Source organism: Homo sapiens, chromosome 3 (genome assembly GCF_000001405.40).
Source record: "Homo sapiens chromosome 3, GRCh38.p14 Primary Assembly".
Lineage (NCBI taxonomy): Eukaryota > Metazoa > Chordata > Mammalia > Primates > Hominidae > Homo > Homo sapiens.
Genome location: NC_000003.12, coordinates 113,862,926 through 113,887,702, shown reverse-complemented (window position 1 = coordinate 113,887,702; position 24,777 = coordinate 113,862,926). Strand labels below are relative to the sequence as shown.

The window sequence follows — 24,777 nt, the reverse complement described above, 5'->3', positions numbered from 1 at the left end:
GGAGTCTCGCACTTTCACCCAGGTTGGAGTGCAGTGGAGCAATCTCGGCTCACTGCAAGCTCCACCTCCTGGGTTCACGCCATTCTCCTTTCTCCTGCCTCAGCCTCCCGAGTAGCTGGGACTACAGGTGCCCTACCACCATGCCCGGCTAATTTTTTGTATTTTTAGTAGAGACGGGGTTTCACCATGTTAGCCAGGATGGTCTCGATCTCCTGACCTCGTGACCCACCCACCTCGGCCTCCCAAAGTGCTAGGATTACAGGCGTAAGCCACAGTGCCCGGCCTCATTTTTTATAAAGAAGCAACTTTTGGGCTGGGTGTGGTGGCTCACACCTGTAATCCCGGCACTTTGGGAGGCCAAGGTGGGTGAAACACCAGAGGTCAGAAGTTAGAGGCCAGCCTGACCAATATGGTGAAACCCCACCTCTACTAAAAATACCAAAAATTAGCTGGGTGTGGTGGCAGGCGCCTGTAGTCCCAGCTACTTGGGAGGGTGAGGCAGGAGAATCGCTTGCACCTGTGAGACGGAGGTTGTCTGAGATTGTGCCACCACTGCACTCCAGCCTGGGCGACAGAGTGAGACTCTATCTCAAAAAAAAAAAAAAACAAAAAAAAAACAAAAAGGCCAGGCGCAGTGGCTCATGCCTGTAATCCCAGCACTTTGGGAGGCCAAGGCAGGCGGATCACGAGTTCAGGAGATTGAGACCATCCTGGCCAACATGGCGAAACCCCATCTCTACTAAAAATACAAAAATTAGCTGGGCGTGGTGGCGCATGCCTATAATCCCAGCTACTCAGGAGGCTGAGGCAGGAGAATCCCTTGAACCAGGGAGTTGGAGGTTGCAGTGAGCCGAGATCAGGCCACAGCACTCTAGCCTGGTGACAGAGTGAGACTCCATCTCAAAAAAAAAAAAAAAAAAAAAAACAAGCAAACAAACAAAAAAAAACAACTTTTGGTTCTGAATTGTCTATTTTTCTATTCTTTACTTCATTCATTTCTGTTATAATCTTTATTATTTCCTTGCTTCTTCTTGCTTTGCATTTAGTTTGCTGTCCTTTTTCTAATTTATTTTTTTTTCAAAGTTATAATGTGTGGTTTAAAAGAGAGGAAAGGAAAAAAGACACAAAGCTGGTTACAGGTCTGAGGGAGTCTAAGGAGAGAAAAATAGAAGGAAAGTAAAGAGGGGAAAAATTTAGGGAAAATCCAGTGGCCCAAAATCCCAGTATCCCACCCACAGCCCAGCCCTTGGAGCAGGAGTGAAGAATTAGATCAGTTTTGTACAAGAGTTTTTTAAAAAAATCGAATCACAACAAAGCTGACTTGGCTTCTCTTTGAGCCTCCTGGATCACCGTACGTCTGTCACTCTGGCCAGTCCTGCCTCTTCACAAACACTGATTCGGCTCCCCTAGGCTTCCACCTGTGTCCCAGTCTGGGGTTTCCATGGAGTGTGAACATGAAGTTAAGAGTGAGGCTGCTTCAGAGCCCCCAGCCCATGTGTCCATCCAGACTCCAAGTGGAGTGTAGGGCTCCCAGGGCAGAGAGGGGTGGGAGGGGCAGACCCTGCCCAGGCAGTCCTCACATTGGACAGGGCATCAGATGGCATCCCAAGGGCTCGCCATCCCTTTCCCCCCCGCCCCCCCACCCCAACCCAAGTGGAGGGGGATTAGCTGTCACCAGAGCCGATGTTGGTGAAGGTTTCGGCTCAGCACAGAATGAACGTCAGCGGTGAACCTGAGGGCATCCAGCATCGGGAGCAGGTTGAGAAGGGCTGTGTCGCTGGGGTCACTGAACCAGGATTTGATGGGGATGGCATTGTCTGGATGGCTCCTGTAAGCCCCTAGGGAGTTATCCAGGATCACAATGCTGGAGAGGTCACTGTGGACCACAGAGAGGTCCTTGATGTAGCTGCTCAACTGCAAAGTGCAGTGCTGTCTGTAATATCTCCTCTTAAGGATGCTTCTGCTATTGTCCAGTTTACCTGCCACAGCAAAGCCATAGATCTCCATGCTTTCTGTAAACACCACCAGCTCGTACCACTGGCTCACCACTTCCAGGAAGAAATCCACATGGGGCCTCTTACGTACAAAAAACCGGACAGAATGTTTGTCTATTACCACCTTGAGGATGAAGTCAGGAGGCCTAACAGGCCGGACTGCGGCCTCAGGACCCCATCATGGTGGGAGTGAATAAGTGTCTCATCCAGATCCAGCACCAGGATCTTCCTCCTCACCTGGGCTAGCCAATTCCGGGACACAGGAGATAAGGGGAGGATATCATATCGAACAGTTTGGTACTGAATTACCGTGCGGATCTGCCCCCGCAAAAGGTAAATGAAGAAGCTCCAGAGCTTGGCAGCGAAGGCCACGAACGTGCGCAGTCCCAGCAGACACTGCGTCCGCACCATCCGGATGACCCCGGCACCGCCGGCCCCGGAGGCCCCCACGGCCCAGCTCCGCCAGCCCCCCGGGGGCAACCCCCGCCGAAGGGAGGGGGAACGGGGGCCCCAAGTGGCAGGAGAGAATGCAGAGAGGGGCACGGAGCGGGCGGCTCAGAAAGCCACCCCTGGCGAGGGGAAAGCCCAGCGGAATGGGGAGCTGGGGGACAGGCGTGGGCAGCCCGCGGGGGCCCACATGGACTGGGAGTGGCACCGACGCCTTCGGGGAAGTTGCGGGCCGAGACAGGTCGGGCTAGGATGGGGTCCTCCGAGACCAGGAGGGAAGGGGAAGGATAATTGGGGGAGGGGGCAGCGGGGGAGGTGGCTAGGGAAAAGGGAGGAAGGGAAAAGGGAGGGGGAGGGGAAGGGGGGGAAAGCGGAGAGTGGTCCGCTGCGCCTCTCTCTTTTTTCTTTTTTTTTTTCTTTTTTTTGAGACAGAGTCTCACTGTCGCCCAGGCTGGAGTGCAGTGGCGTGATCTCAGCTCGCTGCAAGCTCCGCCTCCCGGGTTCACGCCATTCTCCTGCCTCAGCCTCCCGAGTAGCTGGGACTACAGGTGCCCGCCACCACGCCCAGCTAATTTTTTGTATTTTTAGTAGAGACGAGGTTTCACCATAACACATGTTAGCCAGGATGGTCTCGATCTCCTGACCTCGTGATCCGCCCGCCTGGGCCTCCCAAAGTGCTGGGATTACAGGTGTGAGCCACCGCGCCCGGCCTCTAATTTCTTAAGGCAGAAATATAGGTTATTGATTCACTATCATTCTTTTTTAATATAGATGTTTACAGTTATAAATGTCATTCTAAATACTGCTTTAGCTGCATCCCATAGGTTTTGGTATGTTTTGTTGTTGTTTTCATCTAACCCAAAGTATTTGCTAATTTCCCTCATGATTTCTTCTTTCACCCATTGGTTATTTACAAGTATTCTGTTTAATTTCCACTTTTTGTGAATTTTCCAAATGTCCTTCGTTATTTATTTCTAATTTCATGCCATTGTGCTCAGAGAACGTATTTAGTATTATTTTAGTACTGTTAAATGTACTGACACCTGTTTTTTGACCTAGCATATCGTCTATTCTGGAGAATGTTTCATGTGCACTTGAAAAGGATATATATATATTCTGCTACTGTTTGGTGGAGTGCATCATAGATGTCTTTTAGTTAGTCTATAGTGGTGTTCAAGTCTTATATTTCCTTGTTGGTCTTCTGTCTAGTTGTTCTATCTCTCATTGAAAGTTGGGTATTGAATTTTCCAACATTTTTTGCTAATTATATATTAAATAAATAGAGATGGGGTTTCACCATGTTTCCCAGGCTGGCCCTGAACTCCTGGACTCAAGCTATCCGCCTGCCTCAAGTCCCCCAAAGTGCTGGGATTACAGGCATGAGCCACCACACGCAGTCCCAAGTTTTACTGTTGAATTGTTAGTTTCCCTTCAATTCTGCCAACTTTTGCTTGTATATTTTGGGCCTCTGTACGAGGTCTATATATGTTTATGATTGTTATGAATTCCAGATGAATTGAGCCTTTATTCTTCCTTGTCTCTAATAATTTTTGTCTTAAAGTCTATTTTGTCTGATATTACTACATTCACTTCTGTTCTGTTTTGGTTACTGTTTGCATGGTGTATCATATTTCTTCCTTTTACTTTCAATCTATTTGTGCCTTTGAATCTAATTTGTCTCTTATATACAGCATATAAGATGGATAGATGGATCATGGTTGTTTTTTTTTTTTTTTTGAAACAGGATCTCACTCTGTCACCCAGGCTGGAGTGCCGTGGCACGATAATGGCTCACCGCAGCCTCGACATCCTGGGCTCAGGTGATCCTCCCACCTCAGCCTCCCAAGTAGCTGGGACTACAGGTAAGCGTCACCACACCCAGCTAATTTTTGTATTTTTTGTAGAGACAGGGTTTTGCTGTGTTACCCAGGGTGGTCTCAAACTCTTGGGCTCAAGCAATCCGCTCACCTCAGACTCCCAAAGTGCTAAGATTACAAGTATGAGCCACTGTGCCTGGCTTGGTTCATGTATTTTTTCATTCTGCCTATCTCTGCCTTTTGGTTGCAGTGTTTAATCCACTTATGTTTAATGGCTATTTTGCTGTTTGTTTTCTATATGTCCTGTGTCATCTTTGTCCCTGTGTGCCACCATTACTGCCTTCCTATATGTTAAAAACATATTTTCTAGTGTATCATTTTAATTCCTTTGCTGCTTATTTTTTATTTTTATTTATTTTCTTGGTGATTATCCTGGGGATTATAATTAACATCTTAACTTGTAACTATAGATCTTGCTTTGATTGAAGTTTCTACTTAGAATTTCAATTATCTAGTCAAATTTAGTTAAGAAAAATAAGAAGGAGCTCTTCAATTCACAAATACACTAGGAGGTTCTTATAATAAGCAACTGCCTCTGGTATGAACACTTACCTTATCTAATAATACATTCTGCCACAACCTAAAGATACTGAGGTAACTTCTATCCCTGGCACCAAAAGATGTGAAGAAAAACTGCAAAGAAAAATAATAGGAGAATTTTAGTGTCATGGAAAATAAAAGCAGATTATCTGTCATGAAAGTCTATGCGGACTTGCTTATGGTTAAAACAAACTAGTAGGTCAACACTGCCTACTTTGTATACTATTTTTATTTAACTTTTTGTTATAATAGAAGAAACACGGGTAGTTGCTATATGAACAAGGTGTCTTTACTAATTTTATCTTCCAATAAACACAATTTTGTCAGTATTTACTAGCAATGGGGACTTGAAATAGGTAGCTATTTATGTTTATCAGTTTAATTGTGGAAATCAATCTAAATAAAATTATGAAAAAATGAAACTTTATTTTATTCTGAACTTTGCGAAGAGATATGAATTGGCTGCCACTTGAGCCAAGTATACACAAAGGAATAAGAAAAAAATACATGTGGATTTCAGAGATAGATTTAAGGATCTTAATTTTTAATTATATCAGTTTTCATGGTCTTCTAAAAACTCCAGAAATACCTCTCTCTGCTAATTATAAAGTACCCATGCTAACACTGCACTTTCCTTTGAATGCTATAAGAGAAAAGTAGTATGTTTCAATCTATAATTCTACATTTTTATTTAATTGATTTTTGCAAAGTCATATTTTAACATAGGCTTTTATAAGAAAATGCAACAAGACAGCACTAAATACAGTCTTCTCAGTGTGTTATCTCTTCCAGTTCCCTAGTTAATGACCTTTCATGGCTCAGCAGTTATCCTTAGGAAGGAGAAAGCTCAGTTCTATGCTGGATTAAGTTATTTTATTAAGTAAAATATCAAACAAATAATATTTTGGATGCTAATGATTTTCACAGAAAGACTTTAGAGTGCTATTTTCTAATTCATTAAATTGAAACTTTGCTATACATTATTCATAAAGCAAAACTTTTTACAAAGAAGATATATGCAGGATCTCTTCCAAATAGAATTATATATATAATATGTGATCTAACAATCAATACATGCTGTTCCCTATTCCCTTTTCTTAGGCCAAATTGTTTTGCCTAATCATAATAACCTTACAACCCTGTGTTCAGATATATAGATTTTAAAAATCTCCTAGTCTATCTCATTTTCACCACTGTGTTATGCTTGCTAATTCCCACTTCTTGTACTATATAGCTTAGTATTAACTTTATCCACTCTCACGCACAACCACCACATTCCCAACTCCTTAAAACGCCCAGCTTTCTGGATAATCTACATAAATTACTACCTTTCTTTTATTCCTTGCTAGATATCCAACTTCAAAAACATATTAATAAATCTTGATTTGGCTGGGCATGGTGGCTCATGCCTGTAATCCCAGCATTTCGGGAGGCCGAGATGGGTGGATCACCTGAGGTCAGGAGCTCAAGGCCAGCCTGGCCAACATGGTGATACCCGATCTCTACTAAAAATACAAAAATTAGCCTGGCATGGTGGTGGCATATGCCTGTAGTCCCAGCTTCTCGGGAGGCTGAGGCTGGAGAATCGCTTGAACCCGGGAGGCGGAGGTTGCAGCGAGCTAGGATCGCGCCACTGCATTCCAGCCTGGGCGACAGAGTGAGACTCCATCTCAGACAAAAATAATAAATAAATAAATTAAATTAAATTAATCTTGATTCAATAATAGCCTTCTTATGAGTTTGGGAAGAGTTCTAGATAATGATACCTCTAAGTCGCTGGGGCATAGAACATATTCTAGAACCCAAAACAACTAAAATTGCTATGATTAGCCTTCCTTTAGTCATAGAGTACATAAAAGGGGTGAATATTTAGTAGTACAGAATTTTTTACCATGATGATGAAAAAATGAAATCATTGAGTTAACATAGTGAGGAAGCTAAGACCAGGGTCTCTGCAATTAAATGAACTGGGTTCACATTCTTGTTCTATCACCTGTTGTTAGTACTGTGAATTGGCTCACTTTTCTTTTCTTTAGTTTTCTCATCTGCAAAATGAGAATAATTATCATAGTGGATCTTTATAAGAATTACATATGAAAATATACGTAAAGAGCTTAAAGCAGTGTCTAGATAACAGTAAGTGTTCAGTAAATGCTGACTTACTGTCATTATTAAAATTTAAATGTTTGATCCTGAAATTCCAATACATATGTGAGAAACAGTCACACATGAGCATAAGAGGGCATGGTCAGGCTGTTCACTGCAGCACTGTTTGTAATAATAAAATATTAGAAAGAAACTAACTGTAAAGGAAATCATGGTATATCCATTCTATGAAATACCATACAGCATTTTTTAAAAAAGAGGTGGGTCTATCTACACGTGCAGACCTACAACTACAAGAGATAATGTTGTTTTTTTAAAAAAAAGGAGAGCCGAAAAACAACACATGTAAGATTACATTTACTTTTTTTAAAAAAGAGCAAAACTATACATTTATATATGCATGCCTGTATGTAAATAAAAAGAAAGGAAGTCTGAAAAGATATATACCAAACTGATAGCATTTGCCTCTAGAAAGAAAATGGAATTGGGGATTATGGGTATGGAATGAAGATGTTAGTTTTGAAACTGTTTGATGATTTTGTTAAAAAAAAGAAAAGGTATATTATGTATTAATTGTAAAACTAAGAATATTTAAGTCTTCCTCTTTCCTTCCTGAACAGTTCAGCCCTAAAGCTATTGGTGGAAAAGAGAAAAGTAGGCATCCACACTAGGAGTGTGGGAGGCAAGAGAGGCTAAAAAAGTAGCCTAAAGCAGAGTGTCAAAACCAGATAAGAATGAAGAGGTCAGCCGGGCACGGTGGCTCACGCTGGTAATCCCGACACTTTGGGCGGCCAAGGCAGGCAGATCACCTGAGCTCAGGAGTTCAAGACCAGCCTGGCCAACATGGTGAAACCCCGTCTCTACTAAAAATACAAAAATTAGCCGGGCATGGTGGCGGGCACCTGTAATCTGAGCTACTTGGGAGGCTGAGGCAGGAGAGTTGCTTGAACCTGGGAGGTGGAGGTTGCAGTGAGCCGAGATCATGCCATTGCACTCCAGCCTGGTTGACAAGAGTGAAACTCTGTCTCAAAAAAAAAAAAAAAAAAAAAGGAAGAGGTCATCCCGTGTGGAGTGTCAGAGCCCAAATGAGTAACAGCCTCCACATATGGGGATGACATGGAGAACTGTATTAGAACAAGAATGGGGTGAAAAAAGTATGGAGCAGGAGCACAAGTCAGAGCTCAAGGAGGGTGACCACATAAAGAGGTAGCTTTTTGTGTGGTGTCAAGTGTCAAAGACCAAACATGGTGAAGAGTGGCCACAAATGAGCATGCCCTACAATGACATGTCAGAACCAGAGCAGGTGAGGGTGGCGTAGTGTTACAGAGCTCATGAAGGTGGTCTTGTGCTGGAGTATCAGAGACTGAGCAGGGTGGGGACAGCAACCACACATAGTGACAAACTGGCACAAGCAGGGAACAGAGGGTGTCCCTGTAGAGGGCAATCTGGCAGAGGGTAAAGCAACTTGGCATGGAATATCAGCCTAAGCAGGATAAAGAGAGTCGGTTTGTTTGTTTTTTGGTTTTTTTTTTTTGAGACGGAGTCTCACTCTGTCACCCAGGCTGGAGTGCAGTGGCGCGGTCTCGACTCACTGCAACCTCCACCCCCCGGGTTCAAGCGATTCTTTTGCCTCCGCCTCCTGAATAGCTGGGATTACAGGTGTGCACCACCATGCCCAGCTAATTTTTGTATTTTTAGTAGAGACGGGGTTTCACCATTTTGGCCAGGCTGGTCTCGAACTCCTGACCGCGTGATCCACCCTCCTCAGCCTCCCAAAGTGCTGGGATTACAGGTGTGAGCCACTGCGCCTGGCCGAGAATTTTTACATGAGAGCCTCTGTGTCATGGTGTGATGGGCAGCAACCTGATTCTAAGTGTCAGAAACCAACTCAGGCAATGAGGCATCCATGTGGGAGAGGGGTGGCAGTGGAGATGAAGATTGGTTATACAAAGGCCCAGTGGTTAAATAAGTAACTATATTAAGGATAATGGGAGCCTGGTTTCTCATAGCCACGGAAGGGAGTTACAAATATGGAAAGGAAGAAAACAAAAATAAACTCTGTGGTGTTAGATGGGACTTGGAGGTCCTGATGTGAATTTATAAATCACGTGATTACATAAATCACGCCTGTAATTTATGTTTTAGATGGATGGATGGATAGATGGATAAACAGATGTATAAGTGAGTGTATATATGTGTATGCATTATGCATATGTGTGTGTGATTATATACATTTAATGTACACCATTATTATACCCCCTTAAAGGGTTTGAAAACAGTGATGCCCCTCCCCCAACTCCATAGCAATGAACACACTGGCTTCTTTCAGTTTCCCCTAAAAGAAACTAGGACTCCTTGGAGAAATGGTTGATCCCAGGGCTGGGGGAGGGAAAGCCTGAAACATCTTGGGCCAGAAAAATAGGTAAATGCTCAAACACACTGAGAATACTCAAAAGGATACTGGAGCCAGCTTGAAGGGGCTCCCACTGACCAAATTTGGGACAATGTGAGCATCAAAATAAATAATGATAGTAATGGCTTATAATTCATTGAATAAGGTAAGAAATCACCAGTTCATACTGACATAAGTAAAGGAATGAATAAATTCAAAGTATGGTAAGAATGGTATATCTGCATAGTTTCAAAATACCTTTCCCCAGGCTGGGCGCAGTGGCTCACACTTGTAATCCCAGCACTTTGGGAGGCCAAGGTGAGCGGATCGCCTGAGGTCAGGAGTTCAAGACCAGCCTGACCAAAATAGTGAAACCCCATCTCTACTAAAAATACAAAAAGATAAGCTGGGCATGGTGGTGTATGCCTGTAATCCCAGCTACTTGGGAGGCTGAGGCAGGGGAATCGCTTGAACCCAGGAGGCGGAGGTTGCAGTAAGCGAAGATCACACCATTGCCTTGAGCCTGGGCAATAAAAACAAAACTCCGTCTCTAAAAAAAAAAAACCTTTCCCCAAAATACTTATTACTACAAAGGAAAACAGATTATACTAAAGTCTGCAGACACCACCTTAATCGAACGTTCAAAGTAAATATGACCAGTAATGGTAGAAGTTAAAATCATGTGCCATCTGATAGGATGTAGTGGTGACAGCAGAGCATCATTTCCATGTATTTCTTCCAAAATTACACAACCTAAATTTAATCACAAGGGAACATCAGACAAACACAAATTGAGAGATATCCTACAAAATAACTGACCTGTAAACTTTAAAAGTATCAAGGACATAAAAGTCAAGAAAAGACGAAAGAGCTCTTCCAGGAAATTAAAGAGCATGATAACTAAATGTAATGTGTAATCCTGAACTGAGTCTGTTTGCTATAAAGGATATTATTGGGATAGTTATGGAAATTGAATGGGATCTAAGAACTGAATGGCAGTAACAGATCAGTGTTAATTTTTCGATGTTGAATTATATTGTGGTTATATAGAAAAATGTCTTTGTTGGAAGTACATGCCAGAATATCTAAGGTGATGGAGGATCAAGGTGAGAATTTATTCTCAATTAGTGCAGGAGCAAAAGCTCTTTGTACTGCATTTGCAAGTGTTCTATAGGGATAAGACTGTTTAAAAATAAAAATAGCCAGGCTCAGTGGTGCACACCAGAAGTCCCAGCTACTTGGGAAGCTAAGGTTGGAGGATCGCATGACCCAAATGCTCGAGGCTGGCCTGTGCAACATGGCAAGACCCTGTCTCTAAAAAAAGAGTAAGATAAAATTTAAAGTGAATTTAGAAGAATCTCCACAAGATTAAAAAGTATAATTACAAAGATTTAATATCATGGTACTAATTCTCTCTCCCCTCCTCCCCCAAAACTCTCCCTGTCTCTTTTTCTCCCTCCCTACCCCTCCTCTTTTTTTCTCTTTCCTTTTTTTTTTCTTTCTTTCCTTCCTCTCCTTCTTTATTCTTTTTCTTTCTCATCACTACACTTCTAATGTCTCTCACACAGGGCCCTAACCAATTTTCCAGGTGGTTAAGAAATATTCTTGATATATCCCCACTAAGAAATGGCAGACATTGTAGGTGAATAATAAAAATTATGTCAGTTAAAGATAATTGCCATTTTTTAAAAAAAGAATACAGTGGTTAGTGTTTATGTGTATGCTGTCCAAATCTCTGTTCACCAGGAGCATTTTTTATTAGTTGCTATTGTGCAGTTATTACTGACTGAAAAATACTCATGGGATTATTAGAGTATTTAGAAATAAGGACATTGTGCTAATGTTACCCTGCCTAGAAATGAAAAATATGAGTGAAAGTTATCTGTAAACTATAAAGTACAAAAAAGTCAGCAGTCATTTAAAGTTAACCACTAATATAACTGCATACAGAATTCTAGTATTAAACATATGTGTATCAGATATTCCTAACTCCAGGAAGAACTGCCTAATTTCCCAACATTGATGATGAGTATGAGGGAGATTTTCTTCACATTATGTAATATAACAAAGATAGGAAAGTTTTCACCTTTTCACTTTCTGTAACTATCTGGATAGCGTTTGGGATGAGTCGAGCAGTTTTTTCCTTGGTCATGAAGGTTATATTCTTTAAAGCAATAGAAATCTAAACACACAAAAAATTTTTTTAATGTATTTTTCAGAAACATACACAATACAAAATGCCAAGTATCCCATCAATCTAATCCAGAATATTCAACTTCACAGTTGAATATTCTTCAGGTTTTTCGACTTGAAGGAGTTAATAAGTACACGCTTGTATTCTCTGAGAAAAACAGGGTAAGCAGTTTGCCCTGCAGTATTCTCCCCCAACAACTCCTCTATCTAACATTAGTATAAAGTTTGAAAAGACATGTGGGTGTTCATGCTCCACATTAACACACAAACAAAAATCAGACAGTCTGTCACTTAAGACATGGTTTTGGCAGCCATTAAGATATATGTTCAAGCTTTTTTTCAATTAAAATATCTTTCTCTAACTATACTGGAGCTCAATGTATTAAATCAGAAAAATATATTATACACTTATATATACAACACGTTTGTATTTACATGCACACTAATTTAGATGCACAAATATATATAAATTTACTTTGGAATCATCTAAAGTAGAGTTTTTGGAAGAACTGTATATATCTCTATGCAATTATTTGTATCAACAAATCAAATGCAAAATGTCTTACTGTAGTTTCCCATCTGAAGATGTTGCTATAGAAACATAGCCAGTTTTCTGAAAGGTATAGTCGTCCCTGAAGCAAAATGTCCCTCTGAAGAGCACAAGCATAATCTATATACACAAAAATAAGATACAGCTTATTCACGAAAATCTGAGAAATTAATAGACCTTATACTATATTTCAACAGATGGAAAGTCATCACTTTTTGTTCATTAGTTCATTCATTCATTCCTTCATCTACTTTGGACACCATATGTCAGATATTTTGCTGTGTACTAGGATTAGCAGAAATGGCTCTTGCCTTCATGGAACACAATGTAAGGGAAGGCAGAAAATAAACAAATATGAAAATAAATATGATAATGACCCAAGTGTAGAGAAAGCTATGAGAGCATAGGCAGGTATGAGGAGGGCAGGGCAGAGAGTGTGCATCAGGAAGGATTCTCCTAAAAAAAACTGATCTTTAACATGAAAAGATCAATAAAGGGTCAGAAGGATCATAAGGGAACAGCACATGCAAAGGCCTTTTGGTAAAAAGAAACACAGCACATTTGAGGAACTATTAGATCTTTGGGCTGGAGAAGCTGGAGAAGCTACATCATGTAAAGTCTCACAAGCCATGGTAGACTGTGGTTGTCATGAGATGCCACCGATGACCTTTAAGTGGAAGGAACAGGAACAGATGTATATATTTAAAGATTACTTTATTCACATTGTGAGAATGAATTATGATAAATCAGTTGGAAGTCCAGAGAAAAGTTGATGGTGACTCAGACCAGAAGGTGACCATAGTAAGAGACAGAGTAGTTAGATTAAGACATATTTAGGAGGTAGTACTGATGGTGAATTGGTGATTGATTAGATGTTAGACAAAAGTAAAGAGGGGTCAAAGATGACTCAGAAAATTGTATACATTTTAAGTCAGTTTCAAAGTTGTTTCTCTCAGCTGGGCTGGGCACAGTGGCTCATGCCTGTAATCTCAACACTTTGGGAGGCCGAGGCCAGCGGATCACTTGAGTTCTGAAGTTCAAGACCAACCTGGCCAACATGGGGAAACCCTGTTTCTACTAAAAATACAAAAATTAGCAATGGTAGTGGGCACCTGTAATCCCAGCTACTCAGGAGGCTGAGGTGGGAGAATCTCTTGAACCTGGAAGGTGATGGTTGCACTGAGCCAAGATCGTGCCACTCCACTCCAGGGAGCGAGACTCTGTCTCCAAAAAAAAAAAAAGTTGATTCTCTCCACCTCACCACTAAAGTCCAGCAAAATCAAGTCTGCCTGCCAAACAAGTTAATACCATACCTTTAAGGTTAAGATCTGGCTCTGTGGAGAATGTAAACTGTACTGCTAAATTATTAGTAATATAAGATACAAAGGGCTGCTATGAGGAGATTTAGCTTAACTGCTAAATTTTAAAACTCTATAAACTAATTAGCAATTTTAGGTAGATGTTGAATAAATCTCAAAATGTTTCCACTTAGTCATGTTAAATGTCTAAGCAAATACTAAAAATTGAGCAAAGTAATTCAGTCTTTCACAATGCTTCCATCAGCAAAACAAAAGTGAGGTGCCACCAAACAGAATTTTCTTGTAAATAATTAAGCAGGTTAGGTTACCCATTAACTAGTATTCATCACTAAAACAGAGATTGGGCTAAAGGTCACCTTGAAATATCCTGAAATTTTTTTCCAAACCACCAAACCATTTTATCAATTCAATGCTTCTCAAACTTCAGATCAGAAATACCTGGCTGACTTACTAAAACACATATTGCGGCCGAGTGTGGTGGCTCACACCTGCAATCCCAGTACTTTGGGAGGCCAAGGCGGGCAGATCACCTGAGGTCAGGAGTTTGAGACCAGCCTGGCCAACACGGTGAAACCTCATCTCTACTAAAAATACAAAAATTAGCCAGGTATGGTGGCGGGCACCTGTAATTCCAGCTACTCGGGAGGCCGAGGCATGAGAATCCCTTGAACGCGGGAGGCAAAGGTTACAGTGAGCTGAGATCATGCCATTGCACTCCAGCCTGGGCAACAGAGTGAGAGTCTGTCTCCAAAAAAAAAAATAAAATAAAAAACACATAGTGCTAGGCCTCTGCCCCAAGGTTTATGATTAAATAGTTCTGGGTTGCGTCTGTGTGTCTAACAAGCTCTCAGGTACTGACAGTGTTGCTAGTCTGTGGACCACACTTTGAGAACCACTGTATTATTTTACATTAACTATGTTCAAAGGCATAGTAACTACTTAGATTATTTAACTGAAGACTATTTGATATATATCAGCAGACTTTTTTGAGTGTTTTTTGTTGTTGCTGTTGTTGTTGTTGTTTTGAAACAGGGTCTTGCTCTGTCGCCCAGGCTAGAGTGCAATGGTGCGATCTCAACTCACTGCAACCTCTGCCTTCTGGGTTCAAGCTATTCTCATGTCTCAGTCTACCGAGTAGCTGGGATTAAAAGCGTGCGCCACCACACCCGGCTAATTTTTTTTTTTTTTTTTTGAGATGGAGTCTTGCTCTGTCGCCCAGGCTGGAGTGCAGTGGCGTGATCTCAGCTCACTGCAAGCTCCGCCTCCCAGGTTCCCAGGTTCACGCCATTCTCCTGCCTCAGCCTCCCGAGTAGCTGGGACTATAGGCGCTGGCCACCACGCCTGGCTAATTTTTTTTTTTTTTTTTTGTATTTTTAGTAGACACAGGGTTTCACTGTGTTGCCCAGGCTGGTCTTGAACTCCTGGCCTCAAGCGATCTGCCCGCCTCGGCCTCTCAAAGTGCTGGGATTACAGGTGTGAGCCACCATGCCCAGCGTCAGTGGTTTTTAAAAATGGACTCCCTAAAATGGATATGTTTTATTGTAATAAATTTATACTTCAATACAATTGATTTTTTTTTAATGGCTTCTTGGCTGGGTGCAGTGGCTCAGGCTTGTAATCCCAGCACTCTGGGAGGCCAAGGCAGGAAGATCACTTGAGATCAGGAGTTCAAGACCAGCCTGGCCAACATGGAGAAACCTCATCTCTACTAAAAATACAAAAATTAACCGGACGTGGTGGTGTGTGCCTGTAATCCCAGCTACTCGGGAGGCTGAGACACGAGAATCACTTGAACCTGGGAGGTGGAGGTTGCAGTGAGCCGAGATCACACCACTGCACTCCAGTCTGGGTGACAGGGCGAGACTCTATCTCAAAAAAAAAAAAAAAAAAAAAGAAAAAAAAGAATGAAGTGGATTCATAGTAGTGCAAATAGCAAATAAAAAAGAGATCTAAGCAAGATTCAAAACAATAATCACAGTCTGTTCCCATTTAAGTTTTTTTCTATATATATAATCCTAAATACATATAGAAATTTTCTGAAATTATACCTAAGAAATTACTAACAGTGGTTATCTCCCAGGAAGAACATTGAAGTGGTCTTGGTTGTAAGGATCACTCACTTTTCACTTTTCACTTTATGTCCTTATGTACCATTTGCAAATTTTATCATGGGACTGTATTACTTCCAATAAGCAATGTTTTTAAAAATTGCTTTAATTCATTATGATATTTATTGAGCTGAGCTGTCTAGAAATTCATCGAGTTCTAGACACTGAATTAAACATTTCCTAATAGTACCAAAAATCTGAGAAATTCATATAAATAAATGTTTTTGTTTTTGTTTGAGACAAAGTCTTGTTCTGTCACCCAGGCTGGAGTGCACTGGCATGATCTCTCCTTACTGCAACCTCCACCTCCTGGGCTCAAGCAATCCTCCCACCTCAGCCTCCTAAGTAGCTGGGACTACAGGTGCATGCCACCATGTCCATCTGATTTTTTTTGCTGTTATTGTTGGTTGTTTTTTTTTTTTTTTTTTTTTTGAGACAGAGTCTCACTCTGTTGCCCAGGCTGGAGTGCAGTGGCACAATCTTGGCTCACTGCAAGCTCCGCCTCCCAGGTTCACACCATTCTCCTGCCTCAGCCTCCCAAGTAGCTGGGACTACAGGCATCCACCACCACACCTGGCTAATTTTTTGTATTTTTTGTAGAAACAGGGTTTCACCCTGTTAACCAGGATCTCCTGACCTCATGATCCGCCTGCCTCAGCCTCCCAAAGTGCTGTAGAGATGAGGTCTCACTACGTTGTCCAGGATGATCTCGAACTCCTGGGCTCAAGCAAGCCACCCGCCTCAGCCTCCCAAAGTGTTGGGATTACAGGCATGAGCCACCACACCCAACCTAAATAAATGTTTTCAATTAAATATATACTAAAACTAAAACTTAGCTCTGTAGTTTTATTGTCATGAGTATATATTAAGCTTATAGTAAAAAATAAAGCACTTTTAAAAGAAAAATGATTAAATTTTTCCTCTTAAAGCCTACTTCAAAAAAAAATCCATGTGAACAATTACACAAATAATGATTTAGCCCTAGAACATTTGTGAAGTTTCTCTATGAGTACATCTGTTAGAAAGTGTATTTTTCTGGAGGTAAATATATATTGAACATCAAGTTTAAATTTTCTCTCCAATTTGATGCACCAAAATCATTGTGAGAAATCATTTATTTTTAGTTATATTTTCTTAGTACTTAATATTCCTCTGTGTGTGTGTGTGTGTGTGTGTGTGTGTGTGTGTGTGTGTGTGTGTGTCTTTTATTTATTTATTTATTTGTTGAGCCAAGGTCTCGCTTTGTTGCCCAGGCTGGTCTCGAACTCCTGGCCTCAGGCAATCCTCCCACCTCAGCCTCCCAAAGTGCTGGGATTACAGGTATCAGCCACTGCACCCAGCCAAAAAAAAAAAAAAATTCTTATAAATCAAAAATCACTCCTCCCTGAATTGCAATTGAGTTTTCCATTGTCTAATTATGAAGATGCTGCTTATCTTTTTTAAAATTTTTAATTATTATGGATACTGAATGGTTGTGTTTATGGAGTAATGTGATATACTGGAATAAGCACATATTTTGTAATGATCAAATCAAAGTAATTGAGATATCATCACCTCAACTATTTATCATATCTTTGTATTAGAAACATCCCAATTCCACTCTTTTGGCTATTTTGAAATATACAATAAATTACTGTTAACTATAGTCTCCCCATGTGATACTGAACACTATATCTTATTCCTTCTATCTAACTGTATTCTTGTACCCATTAACCATCTCCTTTTTATCTTCCCTTCATAGTACCTTTCCTAGCCCTCTGGTAACCATCATTCTACTCTCTCTCTCTTTTTTTTTTTGAGCGGGGGTTTGGGGGTGGGTCAGGGTCTCACTCTGTTGCCCAGGGTAGAGTGAAGTGACACCACCATAGCTCACTGCAGTCTCCAATTCCTGGGCTCAGTGATTCTCTCATCTCAGCCTCTTGAGCAGCTGGGACTGCAGGCACATACCACCACACCTGGCTAATTTTTTTTTTTTATAATACAGACAGGATCTCACTATGTTGACCAGGTTGGTCTGGAACTCCTGGGCTCAAGCAATGTTCCTGCCTCAGTCTCCCAATGTGCTGGGATAACAGGCATGAGTCACCACACCTGGCATCATTCTACTCTATCTCCATGAGATCAATTTCTTTTTAGCTCCCACAGATGAGTGAGAACATGGGATATCTGTCTTCTTGTGCCTGGCTTATTTCATTTAACATAATGTCCTCCAGTTCCATCCACACTGTTGCAAATGACAGCATTTCATTCTTTTTTATGGCTCAATAATATTTCATTGCATTTATGTACCACAATTTCTTTATCCATTCATCCATTGATGGCTACTTAGGTTGATTCCATATCTTCGGTATTGTCAATAGTGCTACAATAAACATGAATGTGCAGATATCTCTTCAATATATTGATTTCCTTTCTTTTGGATATCTACCCAGAAATGGGATTGCTGGATCATAAGGATGATGCTTAACTTGAAAATTATATTCTGTCTAGCATAAAGGCTTAAATTTTATTACATATACTGTCACTTATCAGTTTTCTTTTTATAATGAGGTAATAAAACTTTTTTTTGAAAATTTCTATTTTACCTGCTATCAGCCTCTCTGTATCAGGTAGATGTGTGAACTGTCTTCTGTATTCCTCATTCCTGTCTTTATAGGTGGAACTTGAAATCTGCAACAATAAAAAGATTACATTTCTGTCTAATTGTAATTATAGTGTCCTAGAAAATAAATATCAAGTGGAATTTAAAATCATATGCTTTCTATGCAATATTTTGTATGTCCTTATATAAATAAACATTTCAAAAACACCAAAAAGAAGCAAAGAAGACTTCCAGCATGATGAGATGAGGAGTTTGGCAATCCCCTCTGCAAAAGCAAATATATAACTAGAAAAAAAACTGTCAAAAATAATCATCTCAAACGATGGAAAATGACCAAAGGCATACAATACAATCAACTGAGAAGTATTTGTTCATGAAAATCCACTGAACTTAGGTAAGGATGGTGGAAGTCTGTGGCACTCATTCCTGGGCCTGTTCCCATTACCCTTCTTCCTTCACCTGTTAAGTCTTTGTGGTAGTTCTTTGGGGGTGGGAACAGATCATGAAAACTGGCAGCTATCTTGACAGAGAGGGTTGAGCTGTGATTTGGATTGGAGGCAGAAAATCTATGCCCAGGAGTGAAAGGGAAAACTCTGTACCAATCCAAGCAAGTGTGAGGGTCCAGTACCAATTGGAGCAAGCAGAATGGCAAATTAGCAAGGAGCTTAGAAAGATCTTGAAGGAGAGGAAGCCATAGATGGGCCTGATAAACTAGTCACATATTCCTAGCTGAACAAAAGCTCCAATGTGCGTAACACAAACTAGAGAAAGCCCAAGCTATCCACACATTTCCTGGCCAAAGACACAAGAGGTCTCAGGGGAACATAAAAAACTGGGACAAACTTAAAAATGGCCACATTTTTTTAAATGGCCAGAGCTTTGAATACATTCCCCAATCTACACACAGATCTGTCAATAGAAGGGAAAAGCCTTACTGGCTCTATGGATTTAAGTACATTGAGTACATCATTGGCTGACATAAGAGGTGATCCCTAGGAAGCCAACATTAAAAATAAAAACAACAACCATAATAAACAGAGCAGACACATGCCACAGGACAAACAGATTTCATAAATTTACTCTAGGCAAATTATTAAACAAGCAAACAAAAATCAGCAATGACAACCCATGGGACAGGAGGGAATGCAATCAGAATCCAGAGATGCTGCAATATATTATCTAAATTGTCAATATTCCAACAAAAATTATAAGACATGCAAAGAAACAGGAAAATTTGACTCATACTAAGGAAAGAAAAAAACAGAACAAAAAACAGAAATAGCCTTTGAGGGTCCCCAGACATTGAATTTTGCAGACAAAGATATCAAATCAGTTATTATAAATATGTTCAAAAAACAGAACCATGCTTAAAGAACTAAAGGAAAGTATGACAACAATGACTCAACAAGTAAAGAACCTAAGCAAATAGATTTTTTACAAAAAACTGTAAAGAAACAGACATTCTGGGGTTGAAAACTACAATCAAATAAAAAATTCACTAGAGGGTCTCAACAGCAAATTCAAAATGACAGAAAGAATACGTGAACTTAAGGATACATTAGTAAAAATTATCAAATTCGAAGGACAGAAAGGACAAAGACTTAAGAAAATGAACAGACTCTCAGAGACCTACGGGACAACATCAGAGAAACCAAAATACATGTGATGGGAGTATCAGAAGGAAAAAGGGGAAGATAGAAAAATATTTGAAGAAATAATGGTCATAAGTTTCCAAATTTGATGGAAAACATTAATGTATACATCAAAGAAACTCAATGAATCCCAAGCAGGATAAACACAGAGAGTCATGCTAAGACATGACTCAAACTGCTGAACAACAAAGAAGAAATCCTGAAACGAGCAAGAAAAAAATTGACTCATCACATACAGTTGAAAAACAGTATAATTTGCGGGTGACTCTTCATCATTAACAATGGAGAGAACAGACCTGCTTTACAAGAAATACTAAAGGAAGTCCGAGCCTGGCGTAGTGGCACATGCATCCCTATAATTCCAGCAATTTGGAAGGCCAAGGTGGGTGGATCACCTAAGGTCAATAGTTCAAGACTGGCCTGGCCAAAATAGTGAAACCCCATCTCTACTAAAATACAAAAATTAGCCGGGTGTGGTGGTGCATGCCTGTGATCCCAGCTACTCGTGGGGCTGAGGCAGGAGAATCTTTTGAACCCTGGATGCAGAAGTTGCAGGGAGCCCAGATCGCACCACTGCACTCCAGCCTGGATGACAGTGAGACTCTGTCTCCAAAAAAATTAAAATTAAAATTAAAAATAAAGTCCTTCAAGCTGCAAGAAAATTACATATGATAACTCAAATTCACCAGAAGAAATTAAAACCGCCAGAAATATAAATACATGGGTATTTTTAAAAGACTACATAAATCTATTTTCTCATTTCTCTCTTAATATCTTTAAAAGACATAAGGGTGGGCCAGGCATGACGGCTCACGCCTGTAATCCCAGCACTTTGGGAGGCCAAGGCGGGTGGATCATGAGGTCAGGAGTTCAAGACCAGTCTGGCCAAGATGGTGAAACCCCATCTCTACTAAAAATACAAAAAAATTAGCCAGGCAGGGTGGCAGGCACCTGTAATCTCAGCTACTCGGGAGGCTGAAGCAGGAGAATCCCTTGAACTCGGAGGGCGGAGGTTGCAGTGAGCCAAGATCGTGCCACTGCACTCCAGCCTGGGCAACAGAGTGAGACTCCATCTCAAAAAAAAAAAGACATAAGGGTCTACAAAGCAGTAATCATAACACTGTATTGCTGGGTTTATGGGATAATAACATTAGTTGAAGCAAAGGTTCAATATTTTAGCAGAATTAAATTAGTATGAATCTGAAGAATACTATACTCTCTTGAGCAATCACTAAAAACAACCCTCAAAAAATTTTAAATCAAAAGGAATTAAAATGTCACCTTAAAAAATATGTATTTGACACATAAAGAAGGGGAACAGAAGAACAAAAGGTATAAAACATATGGAACATAAATAGCAAAATGGTTATTTGTAAATCTAACCATATTATAACTACATTAAATGTAAACGGAATAAACACAGAAATTGTCAAACTAGATAAAACATAGAACCAACTATATTTTGTCTACAAGAGACACACACCTTAGTTACAAAAACACAACAAAGTTGAAAGTAAAAGGATGAGAAAAAGATATACCATGCAAACAGTAATCACAAGAGAATCTGAGTGGCTCTATTACTTTTTAGCTGAAATACTGCTAGACTAAGAGAGATTTCATAATAATAAAAGGGTCAATAAATGAGGAAGATAATCATAAATGCATAAACAACAGAACCCCAAAATGCATGAAGCAAAAATGACAGAACTGCAAGAACAGACTATTCAATAAGTTGGAGGTATCAATATCCCATTCTTAATAATTGATAGAATGACTACACAGAAAACCAGCAAGGATATAAGAGACTTGAACATTTTCCACCAACTACACCTAACTGGCATTTATAAAACACTCCATCCAACAACTGCAAAATACACATTTTTTTCAAGCACGGATGGAACATTCTCCAGAACAGACCATATGCTAGGCCACAAAACAAGTTTCAGTAAATTTGAAAGGATTAAAGCCTCATAAACTATGTTCTCTATGAACACAGAATAAAATTAGAGATCAACAACACAAGGACTGGAGCCCAACTTCAAATCATCTTAATCCTTACAAATGGAAAGGACAATTCCAGATTGCTTGACAGCTGTATATGAAAATCCTCCCTGGAAGAACACATCACTCTAGGACTCAAAATGCTGCCACAAAAATAATGGAAAATAGAGAAGAAAGGATAAGAGACTGATAATACAGTGAGGAGGTCTAATACACATGTAAACAAAGTCCCAGGAGAAAATGAGGTAGATGCAATATTTGAAACAATAAAAATTTTTTTTAAAATTTAACATTTGAAGTTTCTGTCCTCAAAGACCCCAATTTCTTCTTTTCTTGTAGTTCTCTAAAATCATTTTCAAAAATAGCATCTTCCTATTCTAAGTGATTTGAACACTTTTTTGTGCATATTTATATATGTAAATACAGTAAAACTCAATAAACCATCTTGCAGTCCAAAAATCCTAACAGTTGGCTTCTAATCAAAAATGGTCTGAACGGTCTCAGTGATTCAGTATCTGTGGCACACTCCATAGCCTCACAAGCAGATTTTTTAATGAGTTTTGGTAGTTGCTATGGTTTGAATATGGTTTGTCCCCGTCAACACTCATGTTGCAGCTTGGTCCTCAATGTAATGGTATTGAGAGGTGGTAGGAACTTTAAGAGGTGTTTGGATTATGAGGGATCCCTCATGAAGGGCTTAATACCATCTTGTGGGAGTGCTCTCTGGGTCTGGATTAATTACCAAAAGAGCAGGTTATTATAAACCAAGGTTGCCTCTCATGCTTTGTCTCTTTCAAACGTGTTCCCACCATGTGATGGCATCCATCATATTATGATGCAACATGAGACCCTGGCCGGATGAGACCACCTGATCTTGAACTTTCCATCCTCCAGAACCATGAGCCAAATAAATCTCCTTTCTATATAAATTACCCAGTCTAGGTGTTCTGTTATAGCAACAGAAAACAGGGTAAGACAGAAAATTGGGACCAAGAAGTAGGGTTGTTGCTATTACAATACCTGAAAATGTGGTAGCAGCTTTGGAACTGGGTGATGGTTAGAGGCTGGAAGAATTTGGAGGAGCAGGCTAGAAAAAGCCTAGATTGCTATAAATGGGTCATTAAGAGAAATTCTGGTGATGGCTTAGAAAACAAGAAGATTAGGGAAAGTCTGAAACTTCTTAGAGATTACTTAAGTGGTTGTGAACAGAACGTCCGTAGAAATGTGGACAGTAAAGGCCATTCTGAAGAGGTCTCTGATGGAAATGAGGAATATCTTATTGGGAACTGGAGCAAAGGTCATTATATAAAATAGCAAAGAACTTGGTGGCATTGTATCCATGTCCTAGGGCTTTGGGGATGGCCAAACCTGAGAGGGCTGAAGGGATTAATGCCATCTTTTGGGAGTGCTCTCTGGGTCTGGATTAATTACCCAAAGAATTTAATTACCAAAGCTATGATTTCTGGAAGAAGAAATATCTAAGCAGCTTTGAAAAGAAAAAATAAAATAGGCCGGCGCGGTGGCTCATGTCTGTAATCCCAGCAATTTGGGAGGCTGAGGTGGGCAGATCACCTGAGGTCAGGAGTTTGAGACCAGCCTGGCCAACATGTGGAAACCCCATCTTTACTAAAAATACAAAAATTAGCCGAGCGTGGTGGTGCATGCCTGTAATCCCAGCTACTTAGGGGGCTGAGGCAGGGAGAATCACTTGAACCCAGGAGGCAGAGGTTGCAGTGAGCCAAGATCATCCCATTGCACTCCAGCCTGGGTGACAGAGTGAGACTCCATCTCAAAATTAAAATAAAGTATCTAGGCAGCAAAGCACTCAACATGCTGCATGGCTGCTTTTAGCCACTTACAGTAAAATGAGAGAGAGAATACTTATTTAAAGACAGAATTTATAATTCAAAGGGAAGCAGAGCATAAAAATTTGGAAAATTCACAGCCTGACCATGTGGTAGAGCATGAAAGAGCATTTTCAGGAGAGGATCTAGAGACTATTTGGAGATTAATATAGCTAAAAGGGACCTTCTGCAGGGGCAGAGGTGCAGAGAGCCTCCACTAGAATAATGCTCAGCAGAAATGTGGGGTCAGGGCTACCAGTGGGACCCCAAAAGGGTAGAACACTGAGGAGAGTGCAATACCTGCCTGGGAAAGCTACAGGCACCAGTGTGCAACTGCAACTCATGACAGAAGTGATGTGGGCTGCACCTAGCAAAATCATGGAGGCAGGGCTGCCTGAGGCCCGAGTTCCATACCAACATGGCACTTACTTTAAAAAATTGAGATATAATTCACATACTATAGAATTCATCCTTTTGCAATGTACAAGTCAGTGATTTTGGTATACTCACAAAACTGTGCAATCATCACCACTATATAATTCCAGAAAACTTTTATCATGCTGAAAAGAAATCCTATACCCATTAGCAGTTACTCTCCATTTCCCCCTCCACCCAGGTCCAAACGACACTAATCTACTTTCTATCTCTATGGATTTGCTAATTCTGGAAATTTCATATTAATGGAACAGACACAAAAGCCCACAATAGTGCAATCAATGATATGCACTCTTGTGGCCCTTTGTGTCTGTAGCCTATCACTCAGCATTATGTAGGTATTCAAGGTTCATCTATATTGCAGCATGAATCATTACTTCATTCTAGCTTATGGATGAATAATATTTCATTATACAAATATACTACATTTTATCTATGCATTCATCAATTGATTAATGTTCAAGTTGTTTCAACTTTTTGCTTATTATGAATAATGCTGTTATGAATATTCATGTAAAAATGTTTATGCGAACATATTTAAATTCTCTGGGGTATATATCTAAGAGAAGAATTGCTGGGTCATATAGTAACTCTGTTTAAATTTTTAGGAAGTGCCAAACTATTTTCCAAAATGCCTGTACCATTTTACATTCCCACCAGCAATGTATGAGAGTTTTAACTTCTCCACATCCTCACCAAATCTAATCTCTATCTTTC

At 40.3% G+C, this 24,777-nt stretch overlaps 1 protein-coding gene and 1 pseudogene across 3 annotated transcripts in view; both read right to left on the bottom strand.

The window, feature by feature from the left end:
- GRAMD1C (GRAM domain containing 1C) overlaps positions 1 to 24,777 on the bottom strand; it is a 118,983-nt gene that overhangs the window by 59,472 nt on the left and 34,734 nt on the right. For all 3 annotated transcript variants that reach the window (XM_011512930.2, NM_017577.5, XM_005247547.3), the window contains exons 3-6: positions 18,112 to 18,196; positions 12,116 to 12,219; positions 11,443 to 11,538; positions 4,871 to 4,951 (exon numbers count right to left, since the gene is read on the bottom strand). In XM_011512930.2, the coding sequence (XP_011511232.1) occupies positions 4,871 to 4,951; positions 11,443 to 11,538; positions 12,116 to 12,219; positions 18,112 to 18,196 (366 nt within the window). The remainder of the gene's footprint in view (positions 1 to 4,870; positions 4,952 to 11,442; positions 11,539 to 12,115; positions 12,220 to 18,111; positions 18,197 to 24,777) is intronic.
- Positions 1,475 to 2,605, bottom strand: CTDNEP1P1 (CTDNEP1 pseudogene 1; annotated as a pseudogene).